Source organism: Homo sapiens, chromosome 7, assembly GCF_000001405.40.
Source record: "Homo sapiens chromosome 7, GRCh38.p14 Primary Assembly".
In the NCBI taxonomy this organism is placed as follows: Eukaryota; Metazoa; Chordata; class Mammalia; order Primates; family Hominidae; genus Homo; species Homo sapiens.
Genome location: NC_000007.14, coordinates 50,369,862 through 50,394,086, shown reverse-complemented (window position 1 = coordinate 50,394,086; position 24,225 = coordinate 50,369,862). Strand labels below are relative to the sequence as shown.

The window sequence follows — 24,225 nt, the reverse complement described above, 5'->3', positions numbered from 1 at the left end:
TTCTTCTACTAACACAGAAGCATCTCAAGCCAACGCCCACATTGTGGTCTCACAAGGGTGGGGGTTGGGGAGTGGCTCCAGTAGAGTTTCACAGATGAATCTCTCCTTTGGTTTCAAGTCTCCAAAAGCTAAAAGGGGCTGCAAACGTTCATTCACCAAAGCATTCTCCAGGCTCCTCACCTGACAGAGGACGCCATCCCTGCTTCTTAAGGTCAGTAACCCTTCACTCCCCTTGCACACACTTGCTGCCTTATCTCTGCCCATACCCCAGTCACCACCCATCTCTCTGTCACTGTGTCCACCCCAGGCAGATGCTGGCTGCTCAGGAGGCAGCCCGTGGGCTCTGTGCCCAGTGCTGTGGGAATCCCACTGCTTACGCTCAGCACAGGACCTCACTCCTACTCCGTTCAGGAAGGCAAGGCCTCCCTCGTTCTCATGGTCCAAAGGCTCATGTGTGTGTGGACAACTCCCCACTGGCTCAGCCAGTGGCTTTCATTCTTTTTGTACACTGAATCCTTCTCTCCCTTGCTCCTCTCAACCCCCAACCTATGACAAACCTCTAATTAATCAAAAGGTCAAAATGGAGCCCTATTTGAAGCTGCAAGAGGGAGGCTGGTGCCCAGGACTTGGCCTTGCCTCTGTCCTTCCCCCTTCATGTCATCCTGCAGGTCAACAGGTGCCCTCTGGGACCCTTGGCCTCACCAGCCCCTGTTCTGGCCCCACCTCTCTCCCACCACAATTTCCCCATGTGTCACAAACACCAGAAGTCCTTGAAAATCAACACGTCAAAAACAGAACCCCATCTTTTCCTAGAACCTGGTGTTATCCTTTTCATCAAGGGCACACTACTCTAGAATCAGTGTGACTCATGGTTTCCCTCACCTAATCCCTGCCCCCAGCCCTATGTTCCTCTGACACCACCCCTTCCCCTTCACAAGCCCTTCTTTCCATGCCTGCTGCCACTGCCTCCACAGTCTCCCTTTTCCAGTCATTTTTTGGTACTTGCTGTCTTTACTATCCTAGCCTTTGTTCTCATAAAAAATATGCCAGTGCTTCTTTCCTGCTGACTGAATGAAGGGTCCCTCGCTCACCTGGCATCTGAAGCCATTCATCCTGTGGCAGAGCTGCCTAGGACACCTTCACTTTTCCTGCTTCCCCATGGGTACCTGAGTTAAGCTGGGAACACACCCTGCTCCTCCGTCATGTCCTTAGGCCCCCACTCCAACCCTCATGGTCAGCATTCTGGTTTCTCATTGATTTTAAACATCTGCCTAGATTCCCCCATTCCTCCAACACCTAGAATGTGCTGAAACTCTATTCCTCTTCCAAAGTGCATCTCAGCCTCATGAAGCTTTTACTGGTCCTCTTTCCGGACAGAGTTAACCTTCACACCGAGGGATTCTAAACGTTTTCTCAATCTTGGAGTCATGGGATATTCACAATCACCCTGTGAGATACTAAAGGATGGAACCAGGGCTCTAGGGGCAGAGCCATTTTACTAAGCTGACAGAGTTGGTGAGTGGCGGTGGCTCTGTATTGACTCTGAGCTGGTTCCCAAGCCTAGCGCCTTTCCACTCGGACCCTGGCTCACTGTCCCTGCAGCGTCTGGCTGGATGGTGGTGTTGGTGTGTCTAATACCTACTCTGGGCAATGCTCCTAGAGAGACGAATGGTCTTGTTCTTCTTCTTCTTTTTTTTTAATCCCGCAGAGCATTAGGCAAAACAGCAATCCTAGCTAAGCCCTGTCTTCACTGGACACTTCTCAGGGGTCAGTCACTGTATGATTCCTCCCATTAACCCTTCAGAGTCCCCCATAAGGGGAGCATTAGGAGCTTCATATGAAAAATGAGGATCTGAAGCTCTGAGAAGCCGGCCAGGCCTGGAGTGTCCTGCAGTGTGGTGTCCCCCGGACGAGCCAGGCCCAAACTCTCCACCCTGTGCACGCTGGTGCAGCCGCCCCTAAGAGCGATGTCCACAGGCAGATCACAGGGCAGGCCCCAGATGCTGCAAAATCAAATCTAGGAAAAACTGATGGGAGGTTTGTTATTTTTAAGATACTTATTGGAAAAAATTCTAAGATATTTAAGGAATGTTAAGCTTACCAATTTTTCCTTTTGAAAAAATAAGATTTTTTTCCCTTTCTTCCACCCTCAACTCATTTCTACTTGCATCTAAAACACCCACATAGTTTTTTTTTAAGAGACAGCAAACATTTAACTCTTACCAAGAAATTTCTGAGGCATAGAGCTCTTACGTTTGGCGACGTTACTTGCTAGTCTGTCCAGCACGAGAGATCTCTCTGATCCTATCTTGCACAGGTCTTCTGCCATTTCACTGTGATTAGTTTCTTCTTTAATGACTAAAGTCAAAGACAGAGAGGCCAGTTTAGAAAGGCTTATGTTTAAAGGGTTCAGTCGCGTCCAATGTTAAATCTGACATTTGTTAAGTGCCTACAAGAGCCAGGCCCTTCCTAGAGATTAATTCTAATCTTCCCAGCAACACTTCCAGACAGGCAGAGGCAGCCGGAGCAATGCCAATGACCAGCCACCTGCAAATGCTTCTTCCTCCAACAGCTGCTCACCACACATCATCCTCTTTAAGTCCAAATGCACAGGCACCACCACCATCACCAGAGGCTGGACTGGGATTAAGTATTGATGTCCCTTTGACAAGTCCTTTTAACTTTTCATAATACTCCCAAATCTGCTACCTCAGTCAGTCCCTAACAGCAGCCCTCTGAGACGCAAAGAACTGTGTGATCTAACATCTGACTTCATGGACCAGCACAGTGAACGGAGATACAAAAATGTGGCCCCCAAGAGCCTACAGCAGATCTGGGCAATGTGGAGGAAAAACCCAGAGCCCCTTATCCCTGAGCATACAACAAACTCCTGAAAATCAAAGCACCCCTGACTGCTGTAGAAAATTTAGAAATTATGGAGGTAAATGCTGATGTGTGGGCCATTTCTAGTCATTCTCAATTGTTCTATGTCATCTCTTTCCATAATTGAAGATACAACTTTGTATCCTGCATAGCTGGATCTATATTTACATCAGTTATTGTGGTTGGAGTTATAAAAATATAACTCTTTCATTTCCCGGCAATTTATCCTAGTGTATAAGGAGATGATAATGTAAACTGATTATCTTAAATGCCTGATCAATTCTTCCAATACCGTTCCTGCCTTATGCTTCCTCCTGCCTCGGATATTTCATGCTGATTTATCATGGGGTCTTCAGTAGGGTATCCATCTCTATTATTGATTTGTTTGTCTATTCTTCAAAGAGTTCCATCCATTTCAGCTACATTTTCATACATCACTTGACATTATTCTTCTTCTAAAAAGTTGCCAATTATCTCATGTATATATCCAGATACTTTATGATACATGGTTACCAGATTCCAGTAAAATTTACAAGCCAGTTTTATGTTGAAATGATACACTAATTTGGGCAGAGGCCCATGGACGGCATCCAGACCTCTCTACCTCTCCAATCTCCCATGTTTTCTTTCTTGCCTCACTATGGCTTGCTGGTTTTCTTCATTTCTAAGTATTTATGTCTTCATTGCTATTATGAATGTTACTTTGAAAACATATATTTCAAATTGGCTATTGTTGCTGGTATATTTTATATTTTAACATTTGGAATATGTGTTTTTTATTAAATGGGCAAACATATATAGGCCACACCCTGATTTATATGCAAGATAAATATAAATCCATAAAACCCAATTACACTGGTCACACACTTCATCTATTAAGCTAATATGCTTCCTGACATGTCCATCCTTCTCTGCCAAGCCACACCCACAGCCTGCCCAGGGCTCCCAGAGGTCAGGGGTCTTCCTCTGCACCATGGCGCAGGGCCTCCCAAAAGCCTCCACCCCCCAGAGTCAATCACAGCAAGGAACAAGTGAGCCTGATGCTCGCGAGTCACAGGCTGCTCTGTCATTAGATGCATGCACCTCCAAGGGCTGGTGACTCTGTTTGTGCACCAAAGGCTCAAGAGAAACTTATTTTTTCCATAAAGACATTGAGAAATTATAAGAGGTGACCAAAAGCCTTTTACTAAAGAAAATTATATTCACAAAAATTCATCTTTTCCTATATTGCCTAACTGAGGCTTTGATTTTACTGAATCCACCCCATCTAAGGAGGTTTTTGGGGTGGGAGAAGAGACTACTTGCTCATCCATCTGAGCACAGACAAGGGGTTCTTAGAGGGGAACAGAGGAGGAGAGATGCATCAGAAGGCACAGTTTCCACTCATCCGGGTACAGCACAGCTGAAATGACCAAGCCCCTGCCTGCCTTCCTGGCCCTAAGCACAGTTCAGGAAGACTTCTGTCAAAGTCCTTTTATGGATCCCCTTAATACTCCAAGTTCCTTAAACCAGCAGCACCTACAAGGGCCAGGTGCTGGCAAGGGCAAAAACCAAAGGTGACTGTCGAAAGATATTTATGATCATTTTGCACCTTTTGAGGCCATACCAGACAGAAATAATTCAATGTAATTAAGTGCGAGCCTGGCTTTGTCTGCTGCCACACTGAGACCAGACCACTGCTCCTTCCTAGAGACGCTTTCATACCTCCTGAGTGTGGGGACATAGAGGCATCACTGTGGTAGTCCAAGTAACTTAACCACCAAAGGGAATAAATGAACATTTTAGGGTGAAATTGATACTCACCACAGGGTAATATTTAATACACATTACTGGCACGTAGCCTTACTGACATAGAGACCAATAGAGAAGAATTAGCTTGATGGTGTCAGTATGTCAGTGACCTAAACATCCATGTTTAGGTAAGTACCTGACACATGTCTAGGCTCCTGCTCACACGTGTATCCACTCCTTTATGTTTCTTTCAGAGCGCTGCTATGAGGGTGGCCAGGCACGAATTATCAGTCGCATTTAAGCGATGAGCTCTGGGTCACATTCAAAAACAGAGAACTCAAACCCAGGTCTCAGTGAAATGAGTGCTGCTTCTCCTGCTCCCCCGGAAGCAGCTCTCAGCCGGCTGTGTACTGCAGCTTGTTTCTTTAGTAATGAAAACAGTGGAGGAAACAGAAATGATATACTGTCTGTTTCTTTTGTTCATTTTGTCTTTTCAATTCTATGTGTATATTAGATTACTGTATTCAATAGGGCTTGGTATTATTGATTATAAGTCCTCAGTGAATATTTGTTGAGTAAATAAAATGGTTTATTAAGCATTAATATGTAAACTACATCATTAGGAGCACTTCCTTCCAAGACCCATTCACTTATTTTTTACAGAAAAAAACAATATTTGAATGTTGACATTTTATTTCAAAGGAACATAATCATCCTCTCGTCCATTAGTCTTCTGCCCTGGGGTCTGGCCATGTGAATTAATAACTGTTACATTATTATTATTTTAACATCCAGTTTCTTCTCTTCCACTCACCTTCAATGCCTTTCCATTCTAGACCTGAGATTTTGAAAGAAGCCAAATGACAATTTAATGGTATCTTCCCATTTCACAGGTGAGAAGATTGAGGCCTGGAGGAATCGCCTGTAAGCCCCAGATCCCTGGCTGACTGGCAGAGGAGACAGCACTCTGGCTGCAGGGCTCTGGCCAGGTGAGATGTTGCCTCTCCATGCCAAGACTAATTGGAATCAATTTTTAGCCATTCTCAACATTCTTTTTTCCTGCTCTCATCTGCCATTAATAATCTGAGGGTACTCTGGTGAATTTTCCCTTTTGAACCATTTGTTAAAGTCCGAAAGGTGAATGAGGCTTAATAAATTTTCCTCCATTCGTTAAATTTCGACTCACAGTCTAGTGATGATTTTTCCAGGGGTAGTGCTAAATGAATACTGTTTTGAAAGAGATTAGTTTTATTTGATCTCTTTATAAATTGCTTATCTCTTAAAAAATTAGGGAAGAACCTTTTATAACATTGCCATTCCCCCAGATAAATCCAGCCTTTTTCAATACTCTCTCCACATCATTTATTCTACAGGCTCTGGGGTCTGAATCAAGTGCTATCTCGTTATGCAATACAGTGGAGCATCACAGCTCCTAAGAAAGAAGCGACCTTTCCTCTCATCCTTCAACAACCTCAATATTATCAACTACCAGGGGCTTCCAACAAACTTCAACCTCACACTCCATGCAGGAGTGGATACCCTGCCCTCAGTCTGAACTGATGCTTAAAATCACAGCCTGAAAGTTCTTATTTGATCAACTTTGTTAAAAAATTGTTTCAAAACAATATTTTACATTTTATTTTGTTTACAAAGAAATATCACTACTTGAGGTGTTTTTTTTGTTGTTGTTTTAAAATCACCAACATCCAAAAAACAACCCCAAAACTTTCAAGGTCACTGCTATCCTAGGAGTTTCTCCCGATTGGAAGTGGGAAGGGTTTTAAAATCAAGCTCTCTCTGGTCAGATGAGGACCTAGAAAGCTGGGAAGCACAACGTGCTTCTGGTGAAACTGATGCTATTGGCCAAAAACTTCCCTCCCTCCTAGCCCCGGCAGGAAGCAGGCCCAAGGCTCTGCTCCTAAGGCTGCATGCAGAGCGCCCTCCTTCCCCACCGTGCTGGGGGGAGAGCCCACCAGGCTGGCCTCCGAGCAGCAGCGCTTACCTGGGTACAGTGTGCCCGGAAGGCCCATGCTTTCCAAGTAGTTGTGGCAGCGCTCTTTATGTTCCTCTAAAGAGCTTCGCTGTTTATAGCTTCGGCCACAATATCCACATTTGTGAGGTTTACCAACTGCAGAAAACACAATTGAGTTCAAGACCCCAATTAAATGCCAGCCTTCTGTGTAAGGGGAATGCATGCAATACAATTATTACCAAAAAAGTTAAAAAAAAAATTCTACCCTTGAGAGCTAAAACTGTTACGGACTTGGTGAAATTCCTGAATTTAAAAACGTTGGTGGCCAAGGGTTTCTTTAATTGTACCAAGAACTCATGCGACTCTTGTTTTGTCTTAGTTTGTCTACTTTACTGACTACCAAATTCTCTCCTGCTTCAATCACGGAAGCCTAGCCTTTAACTGGAGAAAACGAGCCACTGCTGTGTTATAACGTGGATGCCAGCGACTGGACAGAGATGTGAGGAAGGCCCATGTGTTGGCCACATTGTCTGCAGATTTGCCTCCAGAGTAGGCCTCAGTCTATGCTGTGGGCTGGATCTGTCATGACGCTGGTGCTACATCTAACACAGCCAGAGTGAATTCAGTTCCAGGTGCTAAACTGGGTAACTTCAGTCTCTAAGAAACCATGCTGGACAAATATGCTTGAATGAAATAAGCGTTTTATTGCACAAATGTATTTTCTTACATAATATAAATATATCTTACATTTGCATTATATAATACAAAATATTTTGTATTTCCATGCATATGTATATGTAATACAAAATATTTTGTATTTTCTATGTATATGTATTTCTATTTTATGTATATGTATATTTATATGTATATGTATTTTCATATATTTCTATGTATACGTATTCTCATATACATATACATAGAAAATACAAAATATATTGTTCATAAACTGAGCTTATGGAAAAGCTCTGCTTTCTTGCCAAAGAGCTTTAGGATGGTGTAGCTTCCAGATCAGCCTTGTTCAACAGAACTTCCTATGATGATAGAAATGCTCTCTATTAGTGCTGTCCAATATGGCAGCCACCAGCCATATGTAGCTGTTGGACACAAAAAGTGTGGCTAGTGCCACTGAGGGCTGAAGTTTTAATTTTGTTTAATTTTAACTTATTATAATTAAAAATACTGCATGTGGCTAGTGGCTGCTGTATTGGGCAGTGCAGTTCTATATAATGAGTTTTAGTCCTTCTTGGATTTTATTGAGTGATATTTTAGGAAAAAGAAAGACTAGCCAGGAATTAATATCATGCCTAAGTTTAAGGACTTCAGTAGATACCATTTTAAGGGATAAACTGAATAAAGTATCTTTAATCACTTATGTAAGGAATATCAATTTCCAACCTAATAGCAGAATCTTCTACTTCTTTCTCATGTTGTTTTATTGAACACATTTCAAAGTATTGTATAAAAGTTAAGAGCATCCAAATAGAAATGTTTGGTACAATGGTTTAGCCAAAGCTTATGTTGGTTAAATCTCTTTCTTAGGTGAACAGAAGCTACAGTAAGAAGACCAACATGAAAGCCAAAATTTGACTTCTCGACCATTTAATAGAGAATGAAAAGGATCTTTCTTTATCTATATAAAGTGATGTACCCCCAACATAAGGAAATAATGTTGAAACACAGAATATTGCCTAAAATTGCACATTTTATTGAGCATTGCTTTTAGAAATTAATAGGATATAGATAACCACTCGATACCCTTTCCTGAAAAAGCTGTCACTTCAGTAAATTCCATGATCAAATAGCTTCCTGTAAATATGACATGATGTCTGAATATCTATTTTTCTGAAAATATGATTGAGTTTAACTCTGGAACATAAGAAGTATGTTCACTGTAAGCAACTGAACTCAAGTGTCTCTTGAAGCATAGTCCAATATTCTTTGGGAAAGAAATTCTAAGCTTGCAACTTCCAAAGGAAGCCATGAGGCAGGAAGGGAGATCACTTCTCCACCCCTCCAGCTCCCCCAGCACCCTCTTGCTGTCAGCATCGGACAAATTCCCTAACTCTATCCCTGCTAACATGCTAGTTCATAAGACCTCAGGCCACCACCAGTTGCTAGAGAAAGCTGTGATGTTGATCCTGGTTTTTCATGGGACAGGGGAGTCACCATTCCACAATGGAGTAGAGTGTGGCCACATTTGAATTTGCCAGAGCAAGGCCAAAGTCCTTATTTCACTTCAGTGAAATCATTTTGAAGAAATCATCACTGTTTTTTTCCCCAAGAGCAGTGTGTGTCTCTATAGCATTTTCGGACAGACAGATCCCCAGCAGCCCTGCATCCATGATGGGTTTTCTCCACTTGCTCATCCGTGGATCCAGAATAGAAATACACAGTCCAAAGTCTACCACCATTTTATAACTACTCAATACTTAGTGGTACTTAGAATAGGAAACCATCATGCCTCAAATGAAATACATAGGCCTGGAGCCAGAATAACATAAAATACTCCACTACATGTTCCTAACTCCACAACAAGAAAGGAAAGAGAGCAGCTCTGCTTTTAAGGACTGATGGGCATGAGAGATTCCATTGCAATCAGAGTAATCTAGGAGTGATGATGACCTATGGTTGGTGTCAACCTAAGAACGAGTGTCTGTGTTTTCCACTGACATGGGAAGTGGTGCTTCCCACTAACCCAAGGCAATATTGCTGCCAACTGTGTCTATGTCTACATGGCTCCTTAGAAACAACAGATGTGAAGCTTCTTCCTAGACCACTGGTTAGCATGGCAGACAGACTGCACAGTTCTCTTAGCTGAGGCCTCCATGGGCCTTGCTTATCAGGCCCAGGTACCACCTTTGTCTCCAGGTGGGACCACCATACATGCTCATCACCCATGTGAACATTTAAAGATGCTCACCGTCATGCTACTGTCTTCCTATCTCAGGGGAACCACCTGTTCTCCCTGTCCCTCTGTAACAAGGCAAGTGTCCCACTCCATGGCCCCCCTGCTGATCTGCCCGCCCTCTCGGGCAAGCAACTCCTCAGCTTGGTATAGCTCCTTTCTTGGAAGTTTTTAGGAAGTCAAATCACCCAAATCATGACAATTTTCTGATGGCGAGCATGTGGGGATCCTTCTCCATGTGCACCGCCAGGAAGGAGGTCAGGATGGAGAGGAGGTGATGCACCAGCCCCTGTGACTCCTCTCCTTTTTGTCTCCAGCCAACTGGGTGAACTACTGCAGGGACCACCTGCCAGGAGTGAGACCGAGTTCTTGCCAACATGGGTGCCGCACCCCTCTCTGGGATTACTGCCGACTCACACACTAGTTTAGAATGTCTCTAAAGCAAACCTCAGACACTCGCCTTCCAGCATGTACTTCAGAAGCCCCTCCCTTCTATGGGAAGTCTCTCCTGACTTTCCACCCCAGGACCCACTGTCCCCTTCCTTATGCTCCCACTGTCCCCTCAGACACTCTGTCATGCCTCCTGTAACACATTGGTGCTTTCCTTGTGTGCACCTGAGGTCTTCTGTGCAGAATGGGCACCCAGGGGTGCTCAGTAAATGTGTGATAAAGAGATGGACACAATGAGCAGCCTCTAAAACCCTCAACCATCAAATACACGCATCACATTTGGGAAGAGATGGCCTGGGCCGCTGCAGATATTTCACAAAGAACACACGTCTGCCTCCCTGAGGGAGGCTCCTCCTTATCCTGCTACCCAGGGTGGGTGAGGAGTAGCTGGTCTGAGGCATTGCCATCCCCCAGGGCACCGGCTTAGAGAGGCTGCTGCTTGGAGAAGGGCCCTGGCTGGTGGCTGGCTGGGGCAGGAAGCTCCTTGAGGGGAAGGACAAAAGCCATCAACCTTTCGCCTCCGAAGTCTCATGCAGTATGCTACAGCAAATATCCCCAACTGGACGGTATGAAGGAGACCTGTGCCATGTCATGTTGTATAGACCACACTGTAGGCAAACATGATCCATGACAGGCCGGCCAAGAGCCCTCTCTTCCTCTGCCCTGTAGAATTATGGGACTGCTGGATAATGAAACACCCAGGACCATTTCTCAGGAGGCAGAGGATCTAACCAAACTTTAGTGGATTTGAACTTTGCAGGCTGAGACTGTTTTGAGAATGATAGAGCGTTTATGCCTATGATGATCTTGTCAAGACTCCAGATTATGTGGGTTGTACTTTAACTGTCTAATTCAAAGAGAAAGGCTGCTGTCTAAAATCTGGTAACAGCCCCAGACTGGCCTCTGTAACTGTGGCCTTGGCTGGTTTTTGGTGTGAGAGCCACACGGGGCTCAGTCTGGGTGGGTGCGCCCTAAATCACCCTTCTCTACCAGCTCTGCAAAAAAGCTATCCATTACACCTGTGTAAAACACTCCAAAGCGGGACTTAACAACAGAAAGAATTGTACTTGAAAACGTTTTGGGTCTTAGCAGTACACTTGGTGAAAACATTTCCCGCAAAATCCTTTAGGGAAACCATACCAGCCTGACAAACGGGATGAGGAGGCCTGTTCTGAAACATGCTACCTAAGGTGAGACTTCTGTGTGTGTATGTGCATGGGGGTCCTGCGCCCAATCTCCCTGGTGCAGTGGGAAAAGGAGAATATGGGGAGGGGGGATGGGGCAATGTCAAAGAAGCAACAGCTCACACCCGATGCAGGACTGCGAGCTGGGAGGGACTCAGGGTTAGCCAGCAAGGACACAATCCGGGACCCAGGCGGGCAGAGTGGAGGAATCCCGGGACACCCAGACAGCCCCGGACTGCATCCAGGGGACCTACCGGAGTGCGTCCTCAGGTGGCCAGTGAGGGCGTCCCTCCGGCGGCAGGCGTAGTTGCAGAGGTGGCATTTGAAGGGCTTCTCCCCGGAATGCAGCTTGATGTGCCGGAGCAGGTTGCCCTTCTGGGTGAATGAGGCCCCGCACTGATTGCACTGGAAGGGCCGTTCTCCTGGGACGGAGAGAGGAGAGCTGGTGAGAACTAAACTCAGCGTGGGGACATGAGGACGATGCTACGAGAAAGTTGTTTCCCACGGGGGCCTGGTGACTTCCACCGGCTGCAGGTTTGATAGAACATGAGGCTTTCAGACTAAACCTGCCAGCTCCTTAACGCTTCACTGGCTGGGTCAATTTGATCTGAAAATCTAATTTTTTTTCCCTAAATCAGAATGGCACATCACAATGCAAATTCAAACTCATTTAAATAAAGTGACTGCAACATTTTGTGATGAAGAGCCACTCTTCCTGATCAGCAGTTTTGGAATAAACCAATATCCAATTTTGCGTGTTGTGGCATTTGGTGGGGTTTTTTAATGTGGCTTTTTTCAAAGGGTCTTTAAAATATGCCACTGAAGCAGCAAAATAAAAAGGAAACTCATTAAAAATGCATTTCAGGATCACAAGTTCATTTCAGCGTTACATTCTTATATTTAAATGAAAGGCACTTCATTATAACAGTTATAATAACTTCTTTTCATTTACATTTTCCCTGTATTTTCCCTTTCAATTTCTTCTCCATTACCTGTCTGTCCCTAAGCAGACAAATCAGGAGAGAGACAGACAGAGAGCGTGAGGATGAGAGAAAGAGAGAGAGAGATGGAGAAAGATTGAATAAAATGAGAAGTTAAGAAACTGTGAAGGAAGCCTCCCATCTTCCAAAGAAAAGTCCCAAACCTTCCTATGGCAGGACATACAAGTCAGAGTTGCATTGAGATTTCTAGCTTTTTCTTTCTTTACAAATCCTAAAACATTTAAGCTATTATTTGTCTATATCCATAGAAGACAAATTATATTTTAAGTACAGGTATTCTAAGAGGTGCAATTTAGTTGTTATGAAGGAATTCTTTCAGGGGTGAGACTGCTGCATTTGTGACTAAGAAAACACCTGACCCTCTCCTCTGTGTGGCAGCACCTGTGTCTCCATTCTGGAGCTGACAAAGGGATAAACAGGTATCTGAGTAAAAGAAATATGCTATTGTCCTACTGAGTAGTCACAGGTCTTGGAATCTAAATCAGGGAACATTTCATTTAACTCTCACTTCGAAGAGTGATACATTTGTCACGTTTAAGTAAACATGAAACTCTTTTGTAAAACAAATGCTTTATTTAGAAGAAGAATGCTATGTGACCACAATTCCTGGTGTTGAGATATTGTAACAACATATTTCCTGGAGTCACTTTTTTTCTCAGGAAAAAACAATGTATTAAAATGTCTATTTAACCATTTCCCGATTGATTAATGTGATTATGGTAAAGAAGACAGCACTTCTCAAAAATGATTACACAGAAGCATATCTGGCACTATTAACATCCACACCAGATTTAAAAGTCTATATTGACACTTGAATTTCATGATTATCATCACTTTTTTTTTAAGCTGGCGGGTTAGATGCATTACTATAAAAGCTGAAACTAATTTACAGTGATGTTCAATTATAGGCCAATGGAGAGGTCCTGATACTAACCAGGAGGTATCTGGTATTTCTCCAAATCCTTACAGAAATCTGTATTAGCTAAGCAGAGAGAAGGAGTTTAAACGTAAGCAGGTTGGAAGGTGATGGTGAAACAAACTAACTAACTATACTGTCTGAGTTACAAACCGATGCATGTAAATCAATACTGGATGAAGAGGCTAAAACAGCTAGCAGCCAGGTAGCCCAGGAGAGTTTCCACTGGAGAGAGATCATTTAATTATCTATTAGGAACAGTTCTGGGCCTTCTGTGCACTTGTGCATAAATGTGTGCATTTAACTCCAAGTGGATAAAAAGGAAAAGTAGAGTGAGCTGGTGCAGGGAGACCCAGGCAGCATGAGACGGATGTGCCTCCAACTACAGCTCTCATTTGGACAGGGTGGCCTCTCAGGAGAAAGCTCATGTCACAAAAATGCTCACAATAAGCATGTGACAACATCCTGGTGACACAACAGTGTTTGTGGTATGACCCTAAATTAGTGAATGCAGCCCTACACTTACACCTGGGAAAGACCCCCTTCCGTGCTGGGCAGGTGCTGGAGTCCCATGTCTCTCCCCAGGTCTGGAGGGCTACAGGGAAAACAGGAGGCAGAGCCAGGGTCTCTGCCCATCGCAGACAGAAAGGGCAGATTGCTACAGACACATGCCCTTCTGCAGAGCAGAGCAGGGCAGGCAGGCAGGCGGGCAGGGGTTCACTTGGATCCTGCAGTGTCTGATGTCTTAATACCTGCCTGCAAACAAATTTCACTGGAAACCTTTTTTGCTTCTGAGTGCCTATGCTGGTATGAACACATAGCACAAGGCATGGGGGTGTTAAGAGAGCATTCCCAGGAGTGACAATACAGAGCACTCCACTCAAGCAGTTTCCTTTGGAGGGGTCCACAGCTAAGAAGACACGTCCATGGAGCTGGGGCACAAGAACGCAGCCCACGCCATGTGTGTTCTTGCGTGGCCGGGGTCCATCATTTGCCTTCTGCAGGTCAACAGCTATTGCAGCTGAGTAGGTCAAATTTCTTCAAGGTTGTATTTACTTTTATTTAACTGGGATGAGGACATTGATGTCATGAATTTGAAATTTAATTTTTAATCCCAATGACTCCACAGATCTCCCATTTTAGGAACCCTCTGTAAGAAGGTTTGAACCCCCTCTAGTAACTTCACTGGGTAAAAAGGGAAGTCTTCATGGATACTATGTCATAGAATTTGAGGGCATTTCAGAAGAAAGTGAAAAAATGTGTTTGAACTGCAAGAACTGACGTAGGTCTACTGCAATCATACCTGGGAGGAGCAGTGCCATTAGGGTGCTGTTTTTAGGAGGCTCAGGGACTGCACCTTTTTATCTTACAGATGGGAACTAGATAGGCACAGACAATCTTCTTGGTCTTTGTTATTAAAAATCCCATTATTTAGAATAATAATGTGGTGTATTTGCACCCTGCATTTCCTGCTTCCTTCCTACCTCTCTCCTCTCTGGTTCTCACAATAACCCTGAGACATTGGTGGGGAAGATGTTACTATTACACCCGAGTCAGAAATATAAAACTGAGCTGCACAACAGGGGAAGTGACGTGCTGGTGCCGATGAGCTGATTAGAAAATGGCGCCAGTGGTACTTCACCAACGTGGGGATATGGGCAGAGGCGAGACCGCCCCTGAATCCTCTCAGTGTATCCTGGAAGGGACTGAGAAGCTGACTCAGCCATGGGCAGGAGGAGGAACAATGGCCACAGTGCAAGTCCTAGCCTGTCCAGTGGGGATTCCCGTCGTACCTAAGCCCCAGGTGGAGAGCCCTCTGAATGGCCCTGTTCACTGTCACTGCTCAGCTGCACTGCCCTGCTGCCTGAGGCGGCTCTGTGCTCCACAAGCTGGGAGCTTGTTAGGAATGCTTGCTCTCCTGCCTCCCCCCAGGTCTGAAGCAGAGTTGTATGTTCACGAGATCTCAGGTGATTTACATGCTCTTTCAAGTTTGAGAAGCACTGCTCTAGAAATGTTTTAAGCATAGAGAATTCAGAAAGCATGCCTTTTCTAACATATTCCACTCAGATCCCAGGAAAATGAAAACCTTTTCTAGCATGTCTAGTTATTCAAACCAAGTTTGGCCAAACCAGGTATTTCTGTATCTACCTGGGACCCTTTATATTTAGGCAAGTGGAAATGCATGATGAAAACAATTCATGAGTTCATTGCTTCAAGTGTGTGTATTTTTTTAACAAAGGGCAAGGCAGAAACTATAAAATTGACTTCTGAAAGTTATTTGTTCCGTAAGTGAAAAACTCAGCTTATTGGTGTGCAGGTGGCACCTAGCTGCTATTTGTTGGGAGAAGTGAGCAGCAAACAGCAGGTGCCACCTGGCATATCTGTACTTGGCAGGTTTATTCATTAAATGTAATTATTCTTTTTATCAAGGCAGGCAGTCATTATATTTTGGCAATTTAGTAAGCCAGAATTTGATTCACTTATCAAATATTTATTTAAGAGAATTTTCACTGTACAGTCAGGCTTTAAATGAATTAACAGGCAAGTAGTTCATTTGTGAGGTCTATTCCTTATCAGGGATGTATTACCATGGGTCCCCGAGTATCCTGTTAAGTGTCTATCACAGGGTAGCCTACCTTCATGTTAATTTCCACCTCATTACAAAGGCGAGGCTGGGACTACTCTCATGCACGCTTGCTTCACTTAGGGCTGAGTGTGATCCGTCTATTTCAGTGGGTAATTTGAGGATAAAGGGGCCATTAGAAAAAGCAAAGTTTGCTTAATTTTAGAAGTTGAATTTTTATGGAAGATGGATATCTATTGATATCAACTTATTTTTATAGGTTTTCAGATACACTACAAATGGAATAGATCATTTTGAAAACCGCCCGATTCAAATATAAAAAATTACAACCCCACAAATATCTGCATTTCCTGATAACACAGCTTTTTTGGCTCACAAAATTTTCTGCATTTCTGCTTAATTTTTGATGAACATATTTTTGTTCGCCCCCACGGAAGCAGCATACGAGGGTCTGATTTCAAGTCATCGTCATCATTTTCCCAAGGTATCTTATAGAATCTGCTAGGCCTTTAAAATAGGATTTTCAACTATTTTTTTCCTCTTGGGTTTTGCAGTGGGAGACGCTAGCTTTATGATGACCTAACAATGCCAGCTCAGAGGCAGTGATAGCTTAGGGTCTCTATGTTTCACGTTTCAGCTATCAGTGGCTGCTAGAGGTGGTGGATCTATTGTGTTTTACCCAACTTTAGAACAGCTTCCCACGCAAAGAAAAGTTTCTCTTCAATTCATAAGAAACCTCCTGCCTATAGTTAAATAAGTGTGTGTTATTCATATTTTACTTCTAAGACACTCCAGCACCATGAGTGGTGGTTTTCTGACTGGACAGTTCTGTTGGACAACTCTGTGACACTTCCATCAACGTGACCGGCTATTAGAAACAGTGGCAGAGCGCGGCCAGCTGGGGCTCGCCGTGTTCCCACGCCTCTGGTGAGGGGGCATCCTGTGAGCCTGAGCACAACTCGCTGACACTAGGGTGCCCGTGTTCCTTCCTTTCTGGACACAGAACATGACATTCTCTTATACTTCCAGTAAACCTTTCAGCAAGACAGGGTATTTGGGATGAAGTTCTTTAGGAATTTGAGCTGATAACCAGTGGCAATAGAAGCATCTGATTCAAAGTCTTTCCTGTTAGAGGGCAAGCCATTTGAAAGCTCATCTGAGGTCTTTCTGAAAACTCGATTTTGCTGCTATTCCATCATTGATTATTGTTTCTAAACATCAAACCCTGTTAGTTTGGATACAATTTAAACACACATTTTACTCATGGTTTCTCAGTGGAAACTTTGAGGAGTAAGTTTTGGTGTATCAGGATTTTTTGTTTTGTGGAGGGTGACCACTCAGCACACGTACCCTGAGGGCTCAGCTGAGACTACTTAGTATGTGTTACTATAATAGCAGCCCTCGCCAAGCCTCTCATGTGATGCTGTTCACTTTTCCCTTGTTTTATTTATAGGGTGGAATTGGTACGTGTTGAGAAGTCCTTTACAAGGCTGTACCAGAACAAGGACTCTATGACTCGGTACCACTTGGAACCAATCGCTTGCAACAACTGAGCTACCAGTCAATTAGAAACATGCTCAGAACACAAGGAAGACAGGATGCTTTCCTCCTTCAAACCCCATGCACCTTCTCCAGGCCACTAAAGGAAAAACTGAGCCAGGCCTTACCAGTGTGGCTTCTTTTGTGAACCATGAGCACATTGGGCCCGATGCAAATGATCCCACAGATATCACACTTTAGTTTTCCGTTAGGAAGTCGAATGCCTCCAACTCCCGACAAAGCCGAGCTGCCTTGGTCCCTGTGGGAGCCATTCATTTTCTCTCCCGAGGCATCAAGCATTCGTAAATCCTCCGCACATTCTTCCCCATTCATTTCACAGGCACGCCCATTCTCTTCATCACTCTGAGTCTCTACTTTAACATTACTGGCTGAAAGAAACAATACAGGAGGCCACTCAGTGTCATTGCAAAAAAAAAACTCAACAAAACAACACAGCAGCAAAAAGACAATCAAATAGGTGTGGAGAGCTACTAAACAGAAGTTCTTAGCAAATACCAAGGGGAGAGCAGCCTGAGCTCGCCGTGCATTCAGCCTTGAGTGGGCTTCGGTGGCAGGCCTCGGGATGCACCTGGGGTTACAGGGAGATCTGCCAGCCCTCTCCATCCATAGGCCCAGTGGCGATTATCTGAAAATGCACTAGAAAGGTATTTACATAGTTCCCACTTTAGAATTGGGCCCTCACTTTAAGCAGGTTCACGTCAGGAGTGGTCTGAGGCCTACTCCTACACCCTACCCATCAGATGGGCACCTTGCCCTAGAGGGTGGGTTCTGGGTCACACAATCCAGCTCTCTAGGATGTGTGAACTTGTTTGGCAAAATACCTAATAAGTGGTTATCAAGCCTGAAAAACGTCTCTTATTGTGATGCTACCTTTCCTTGTGGCATGTAAACATTAATAAACTTTGGGACAAAACTCAGTAAACATAAAAATGCTCAGAGTTCTGACCACAGTTCCCTTTCAGATTTCCGGAAGTTCTTTGTGTTGCTTTGGTACATGACCATTTGAATTCCTGTTTATCTTAAATAACATAAAAACAAACCCTGTGTTCTAAAGAAGAGGTATCCTTTCTTACACTTCTTCCACTTGCTGAAGGGTTAATTGGGATAGTTTATGAATGTAGGTATCTGGAAGAGCTTTTTTTTCCAAAGGGAAAGAAGCTTGTGTGTTTGTTGGGTGGTGGGTGGGGGGGGGGGGTGGGAGGTGAACTTTTAGTGTCTTGAATACAATGACCACTATTGACTCTGCATTACTGTTACCTTTAAGTCACACATCACAAGGTAATTATGTCATTTGAATATTTTTCTTCCTAAAGAAAGTAGGAGTTATTTCATTTACACACTTCAGAAACACTGACTGATGATACATTGGTGAATCCAACACTATAATGACTAAGAGAATTTGTAGTTACACTGAAAGCCACCATTTTAATAACCATTTTTACAGACTAATAAGAGTAAGTAGGTAAATTTTGCCAAGTAAAATGATCAATGAGATAGATGACAATCAAGACTAAATGTTTCTTTTTTGAGACAGGGTCTTGCTCTGTCTCCCGGGCTCAAGTGATCCTCCCACCTCAGCCTCCCCAGTAGTTGTGACTACAGGTGTGCACCACCACATCCAGCCATTTTTTTTTGGTGTTTTTTGTAGAGATGGGTCTTGTCATGTTGACCAGGCTGCTCTCGAACTCCTGAGCTCAGTGATCCACCTGACTTGGCCTCCCAAAGTGTTGAGATTACAGTTGTGAGCCACTGTGCTCAGCCTAGACCACATAATTTTTGATCAACATTTTCAATCAATGGTTCTCAAAATTTGGGAGAAGCAGCATAAGCATCACCTGAGAACTTACTAGAAGCACAGACTCTCAGGCTCAACCCAGAGTTGCAGGCTCAGGAACTCTCGGTGGGCCCAGCAGTCTGTTTTAACATACCCTCCAGAAGATTCTAATGTACACTGAGGACTGAGAACAACTGTCTTAAATAACCAACTTAGTTAACAGCACTCCAAGCTTATTTTATTCAGGGAGTTCCTCTCGATTTAGAGATCTACAGTCCAGACACTGAAATAAAAATACCTGGTCTGGAATCTTAGCTGCACTATTTAAAAGCACTGAGATCTTAGGCAAGTCATGTAACTTCTCTGTGCCTTGATTTCCTCATCCATGAAAATGGAAATTATTATAGCACCAGCCTAACACTGACAGACAAGAAGTTAGCTGAGGATAGTGGTTGGGGCATGGCACATGGAGGCTCACCCCCAGTGATCCCAGTACAGTCTTTCACCTAACCCCAATACCACACGCTGGGCACACAGCACATTAATTGTACTCTGCCATTTAACCTTCACAAGGACTCCATAAGGGAAGTGCTATCATTATCCTATTTTACAGTTGAAGAAGCCAAGGCACAGAGAGGTTGAACAACTTGCTAAGGTCACATAGCTGGCAAGTGGCAGAGCTGGAAGGTAACTGCAGGCAGCCTGGCCCCAGCATCCAAATTCCTAACCACTTACAGTCATCTCTTGGTATCTGCAGTGCATCAGTTCTGAGACTCCTGAAGGTCTGTAGATGTGCAAGTCCCTAAAATGGCCCTATAGAACCTATGGATACGAAAAATCTGCCTTCTATATCCACAGGTTCCATGTCTCTTGAATACTGTATTTTCAAGCCACAGTGGGTTGAATTTCCAGAGGCTGAACCCATGGATATGGAGGGCTGATTGTACTGCCAGTGTTTTCTTATTAGCTCTTTAGGGAAATGACTTACAGATGAATAATGAAATGAATTAACTGGGACATGGTGGACTTGGAGACCACAGAAGTGAGGATGCACCAGAGGATTAACAGAGCTGCCTGTCTCCTCCATCAGATCCTGGCATTATGCAGGATTGTCCTGAGAAATCCAGCAATGGGGATTCTTCAAATGCTCTCCCCTTCAGATCCTGAAGATCAGAGACCGAGAGCATCTGAGCAGCCTCCTGCTAACCTCTCCCCACTGCCAGGGACAAGATACTTGGAAAATAAAGGAGATAGGCAGGCAAGTGAGGCTGGCTGGCTGTCGAGGCAATGGTGCTTAATGACCATTGAGTTCTCTGGAATTGGTACTCTCAGGTAGAGGCTGTGCATCTTTCTGGGAGAAAGCTAATTCTCTAGGCCCTCCTTGTTCACCAGTGTCTACACTAGCCCGCTCTGGAAACACAATGAGGCTGCAAAGATCTGTGTACTCCTTAATCTAAGATTATTTTTAATCATTTACCTTGTGGTTTTTAAAATGAGATTAGAACACAATGGAGCAAATTAAGATTGGTGTGGCAAGTTTTTCAAATACAGGCGCTAAGACGAGGGCTATAGCGAAGGTGTAGGCCTAGTGCTTCCGAGGCTAGAAAAAGGACACCACGCAGAACAGGCATTGGGATAATCCTCTTGGCATGTTCCCCTACGCGGCTTGACTTCATAAATTCAGAGGCAACCAGCTAGAGAGAATTGACTCTTGCTTTCCCATGGGCACATATGGCCTATTAGAACTTGCCAGAAGCTATCACTTGTTCTTCTGGATCATTAAGAATGAGTATTTCTGGGATTCTTTGGCATGCTCTATGGCGTGTGCTGTTGATCAGTGTGTGGGCGCTTGCAGGTGGGGAGCAGAACAGCAGGGAAGCATTGGACACGACCTTTGGGTTTCTGGCTTCAGGAACACCGGTTCTGCTACAGCAGGCTGCTTGCAGGAGGAGGCAAAGCTATGTGACAGGAAGGAAACAGAAGCATGGGGGAAAGCCCACAATGGATGCTGCCTTAGATATCACAGATGTTCTCAAAGCCAGAGGCCTGGAGATCAGCCACTCATTGGACAAATGGTGGCTGAAAGCAGTACTCTGTCCTTGTTAGCCTCAATGACACTGTCACTGAGAGCTGTAACAGAACCAAAAGAGAACTAGGGACACAAACACTCTGGCTCAGGCCCACCCTGGGCTCTTTCACTGACTGAGACATAATGGACAAGAGCCCAATTTTATTATTCAACAAATGTGACAATAAATATGAAGAGTGGATGTTTTCAAACTCCTAGTCGAAAAGGCACAAGAGCCTATCACATACTGTCCTGAGGTCAATGTGGATACCAAGTACAATTTTAGGGAGATAGGTACCTAGATCTCCACCTAGATGGCTAGATGTAGGGACATATATAGAAGATTAGTCACACAGTTCTGTAGGAACAGCAGTAGGGATGATCAGCTCAGGAATATATAGAGTTTGAAGAGGAAAATTAAGGACACTGCGATGCTCTAGGTTTCTAAAAAAGAGTATGCAGACAATATCCACAGATCACTATGGGCAAGGCCAAGGAACTGAAAATAATGGGGAAAGGACAGAGGAACCTGTATCAGCAAATGCTCAAAACGTTTTAAATGGAAGTTAGATGGCAGATGCTGAGCATTCCAGGGCTGAAAGCTTCTAGCACTATTCGGACAACTTCTAAGCCATGTTATGACGGGAAAGGTTGGTGAAGTCTAAGACAAGGACTGGATGACTGCCAGGTGCTGGCAGGATTTGGTGGGAAGGGAACAGAGTGGGCAACACCGTCACCACGGGGCGCGTAAGATTCAAGCAGTGCGTGGATTTCCCGTAAATGGGGTTAAGCTCCTCTTTTCTTTGCGGAAAAATGCAAAGTGGGTGCTGGTTACATAGACAAGATCAGGAGACTTCTGTCCACCCAAGGAGGCTGTCCATGAAAACGGGGGTCTCTTATCCAGCTAGGAGGAGAATACAAGCAACTTGCTTACTGTTTTCATAGATGACAGAAATCAGGGCTTGAAACTATCTTCATAAGTTGCAACTACAGATTGTATCTCAAAATCTGAAATCTATTAGTCATAAATGTAAGGACCTGTGAAATTAAAATATAGATTTTAAAAACACAAGCCCAGGATGAGAGTGTCTTGGCTTCCCATGTAAGTGTGAAAAAGGTTTCTGGGGTTTTCCCTGAAGGTATGCTCAATCAGAGATGTGGACAGAAAAAAGAAAAACAGAAGGGGTGACAGCGTCCTGTAGTCACTGAAATCTGGAATCTTCTGTACCAGCCAGGCTGTACGCACGCCTCCTTTCAAAAGGGCAGCATAGGCTGGTGCAGGTTTGGAAGAGTCAGTCACTGGGGACTGAAACTAATTCCTGCGAGCAAGGTTGGTGGCACAGGATGCACACTTCCTCAGCTTGGCCCCTGAGGGTGGAGAAGGTGCCGAGGAGAGGCAAGTGGGAGATGAGGGCAAGAAGTGGTTCTTCTGAGAGAGGGGTTTCCAGTGATGGAAGGTGTCCACACACAGGGCAGAGAAGCAAGCCCTGGAGGCTGATGGGAACCCTGATGGCAGGTTCCTGCCACCTGTAGTTGTGTGACAGCCTCCACCAATATGCCTCCCATTCAAGGAGTGAGGAGTTCAGGGCCTTTGTCCCACAGACCTTTTCCTTTACCTAGAAGAAAAGAACAAGTGGGTGTTGGCCTGTTGATGGCAGTGAACACATGCAGTTGTGACGGAGGCTCTGCGAGAATGTGAGTTTTGTTGGCCCTTCATTTTGAAATCCATCCTCCTGAAGAAGGCAATGACACCAGCTGATACTTCCACTAATGAAGGAGGAGGTTGGGAAGGAATGACTGGCACTTACTGAAGCTGAGCACCTCCTGGCAGCTCCATAATACCCCGGAACCCATCCCAAGGGATATGCAAGGCTCCTGCTGAATTCTGTTGAAAATGCCATATGAGAAATCCCTTCAGTTTCTTAACAACTGCCACTCCTTAAATGGTGCTGATCATACCTGCCCTAGAATCAATTCCATGAACCCGCCTGCCCGATTTGCAGGCATTGTGCTTGGTTCAACCCCATGGATGCTGTCTCTATGGAACATTTGCCAGGGCCCGAGTTGCCTGGCCGTGCCCTTCTGTGAGTTCCTAAATCGCTCACTCCTTCCTCTGTTACTCGGAGCTGGAACTGCTTAGCTGTGGTATTGCTTCAGTGAAATGGTACATCTCCCTGAAGATAGGAAAGATAGTTATAAATATTTTGTAACCCCCCACCCCATTACTTAGAAAAATGTCAAACTCAGTAAGGTGCTGAATTGAACTGATTAAATATAGAACATGAAATGGAGACTGGTCCTCTCTTTCTCCGGAACACTCTGGCTCATGCCCACCGTGGGCTCTTTCATTGACTGAGAGATAATGGACAAGAGCCCAATTTTATTACTCAATAAATGTGACAATAAATATGAAGAGTGGATGTTTTCAAACTCCTAGTCAAAAGCTGCTTTCCTTCCCAGATGCTATTTAAAGTTGGGAAAAATTAAAATCTCATTGACCTATCTTGGAGGGCTTCTATGTTATTGGCACCCAACAGTACTAAGAGAGACCCCACACCCCTGTATGGAAGGTGGACTTTGGTAGATAGACAAGTTTGGATTGAAGAATCTGGAGAATCCAAGGAACTCAGATGCCAAGAGGAGCCAAGAGGCCTGAATCTGTGCCAGGCACTGTATGTGCTCATGGATAATTAAACATTTTTTAATGCATAGGTATAATGTACACTGTTAGTCCCCACCTGACCAATGAATTAAGCTTCCTCTTCATTTCCCTTTCCTTTTTAGAATGTGTCTTCATATTTACTGAAAAAGTAAATGTTTGGTACTCAGAACGCATTTTTCCATTGAAAAGATAGTCCGAAGTAGTCACTCTAGTGTGAGTTTAGGCCATGTAAGCTTGAAATGCTCAATATTTTACTTGAAAAATGGTACAGAAATATTCTTGCAACACTGGTGACTAGCAAGTAAAAATCAAATGAAATGGAAATATTTAAGATATATCTTGAATCACGGTAATTAAATGAAAATTTGAGGTGAAGAGAAGATATATATATAGATATTTTTGTGTTGCCTCTAAAAGAGATTTATAAAACTTTTAAGCGTTTTAAAGTTCATGGAACCATTTATTATAACTTAATATCATTTAAAATGTAGAAGGTTGTTTTCGTCCCACTAGGGTATATTATTAGAAAATACTT

The 24,225-nt window shown here is 44.0% G+C and overlaps 1 protein-coding gene and 1 long non-coding RNA gene across 60 annotated transcripts in view, besides 3 other annotated features; one reads left to right on the top strand and one right to left on the bottom strand.

Annotated features, from left to right (window-relative positions):
• Positions 1–24,225, bottom strand: part of IKZF1 (IKAROS family zinc finger 1) — a 101,647-nt gene that overhangs the window by 11,015 nt on the left and 66,407 nt on the right. For 13 of the 59 annotated variants that reach the window (XM_011515058.3, XM_011515061.4, NM_001410879.1 and 10 more), the window contains 4 exons: positions 17,294–17,554; positions 11,380–11,547; positions 6,617–6,742; positions 2,224–2,358 (listed from right to left, as the gene is read on the bottom strand). The exons of 1 other annotated variant lie outside the window; for it this stretch is intronic. In XM_011515058.3, coding sequence (XP_011513360.1) covers positions 2,224–2,358; positions 6,617–6,742; positions 11,380–11,547; positions 17,294–17,554 — 690 coding nt within the window. Of the gene's footprint in view, positions 1–2,223; positions 2,359–6,616; positions 6,743–11,379; positions 11,548–17,293; positions 17,555–23,766; positions 24,044–24,225 lie in introns of those variants that run through there. 45 more of the 59 variants (XM_011515067.4, XM_011515070.3, XM_047419734.1 and 42 more) reach the window with 14 other exon arrangements.
• Positions 96–145: an enhancer, noted in NCBI's record as "active region_26004". NCBI's record gives its function as "activates an Ori minimal core promoter by ATAC-STARR-seq in GM12878 lymphoblastoid cells {active_cell/tissue: GM12878}" and the evidence as "EXISTENCE:reporter gene assay evidence [ECO:0000049][PMID:35858748]".
• On the top strand, positions 130–8,201 carry LOC124901631 (uncharacterized). The gene is made up of 3 exons (XR_007060322.1): positions 130–211; positions 5,508–5,603; positions 8,126–8,201. It is a non-coding gene; the product is annotated as an uncharacterized LOC124901631 (long non-coding RNA).
• Positions 14,307–14,812: an enhancer, noted in NCBI's record as "NANOG-H3K27ac hESC enhancer chr7:50446973-50447478 (GRCh37/hg19 assembly coordinates)". NCBI's record gives its function as "activates a minimal SCP1, AML or CMV promoter by ChIP-STARR-seq in naive and primed H9 embryonic stem cells {active_cell/tissue: H9 hESC(naive and primed)}" and the evidence as "EXISTENCE:reporter gene assay evidence [ECO:0000049][PMID:30033119]".
• Positions 14,813–15,319: an enhancer, noted in NCBI's record as "H3K27ac hESC enhancer chr7:50446466-50446972 (GRCh37/hg19 assembly coordinates)". NCBI's record gives its function as "activates a minimal SCP1, AML or CMV promoter by ChIP-STARR-seq in naive and primed H9 embryonic stem cells {active_cell/tissue: H9 hESC(naive and primed)}" and the evidence as "EXISTENCE:reporter gene assay evidence [ECO:0000049][PMID:30033119]".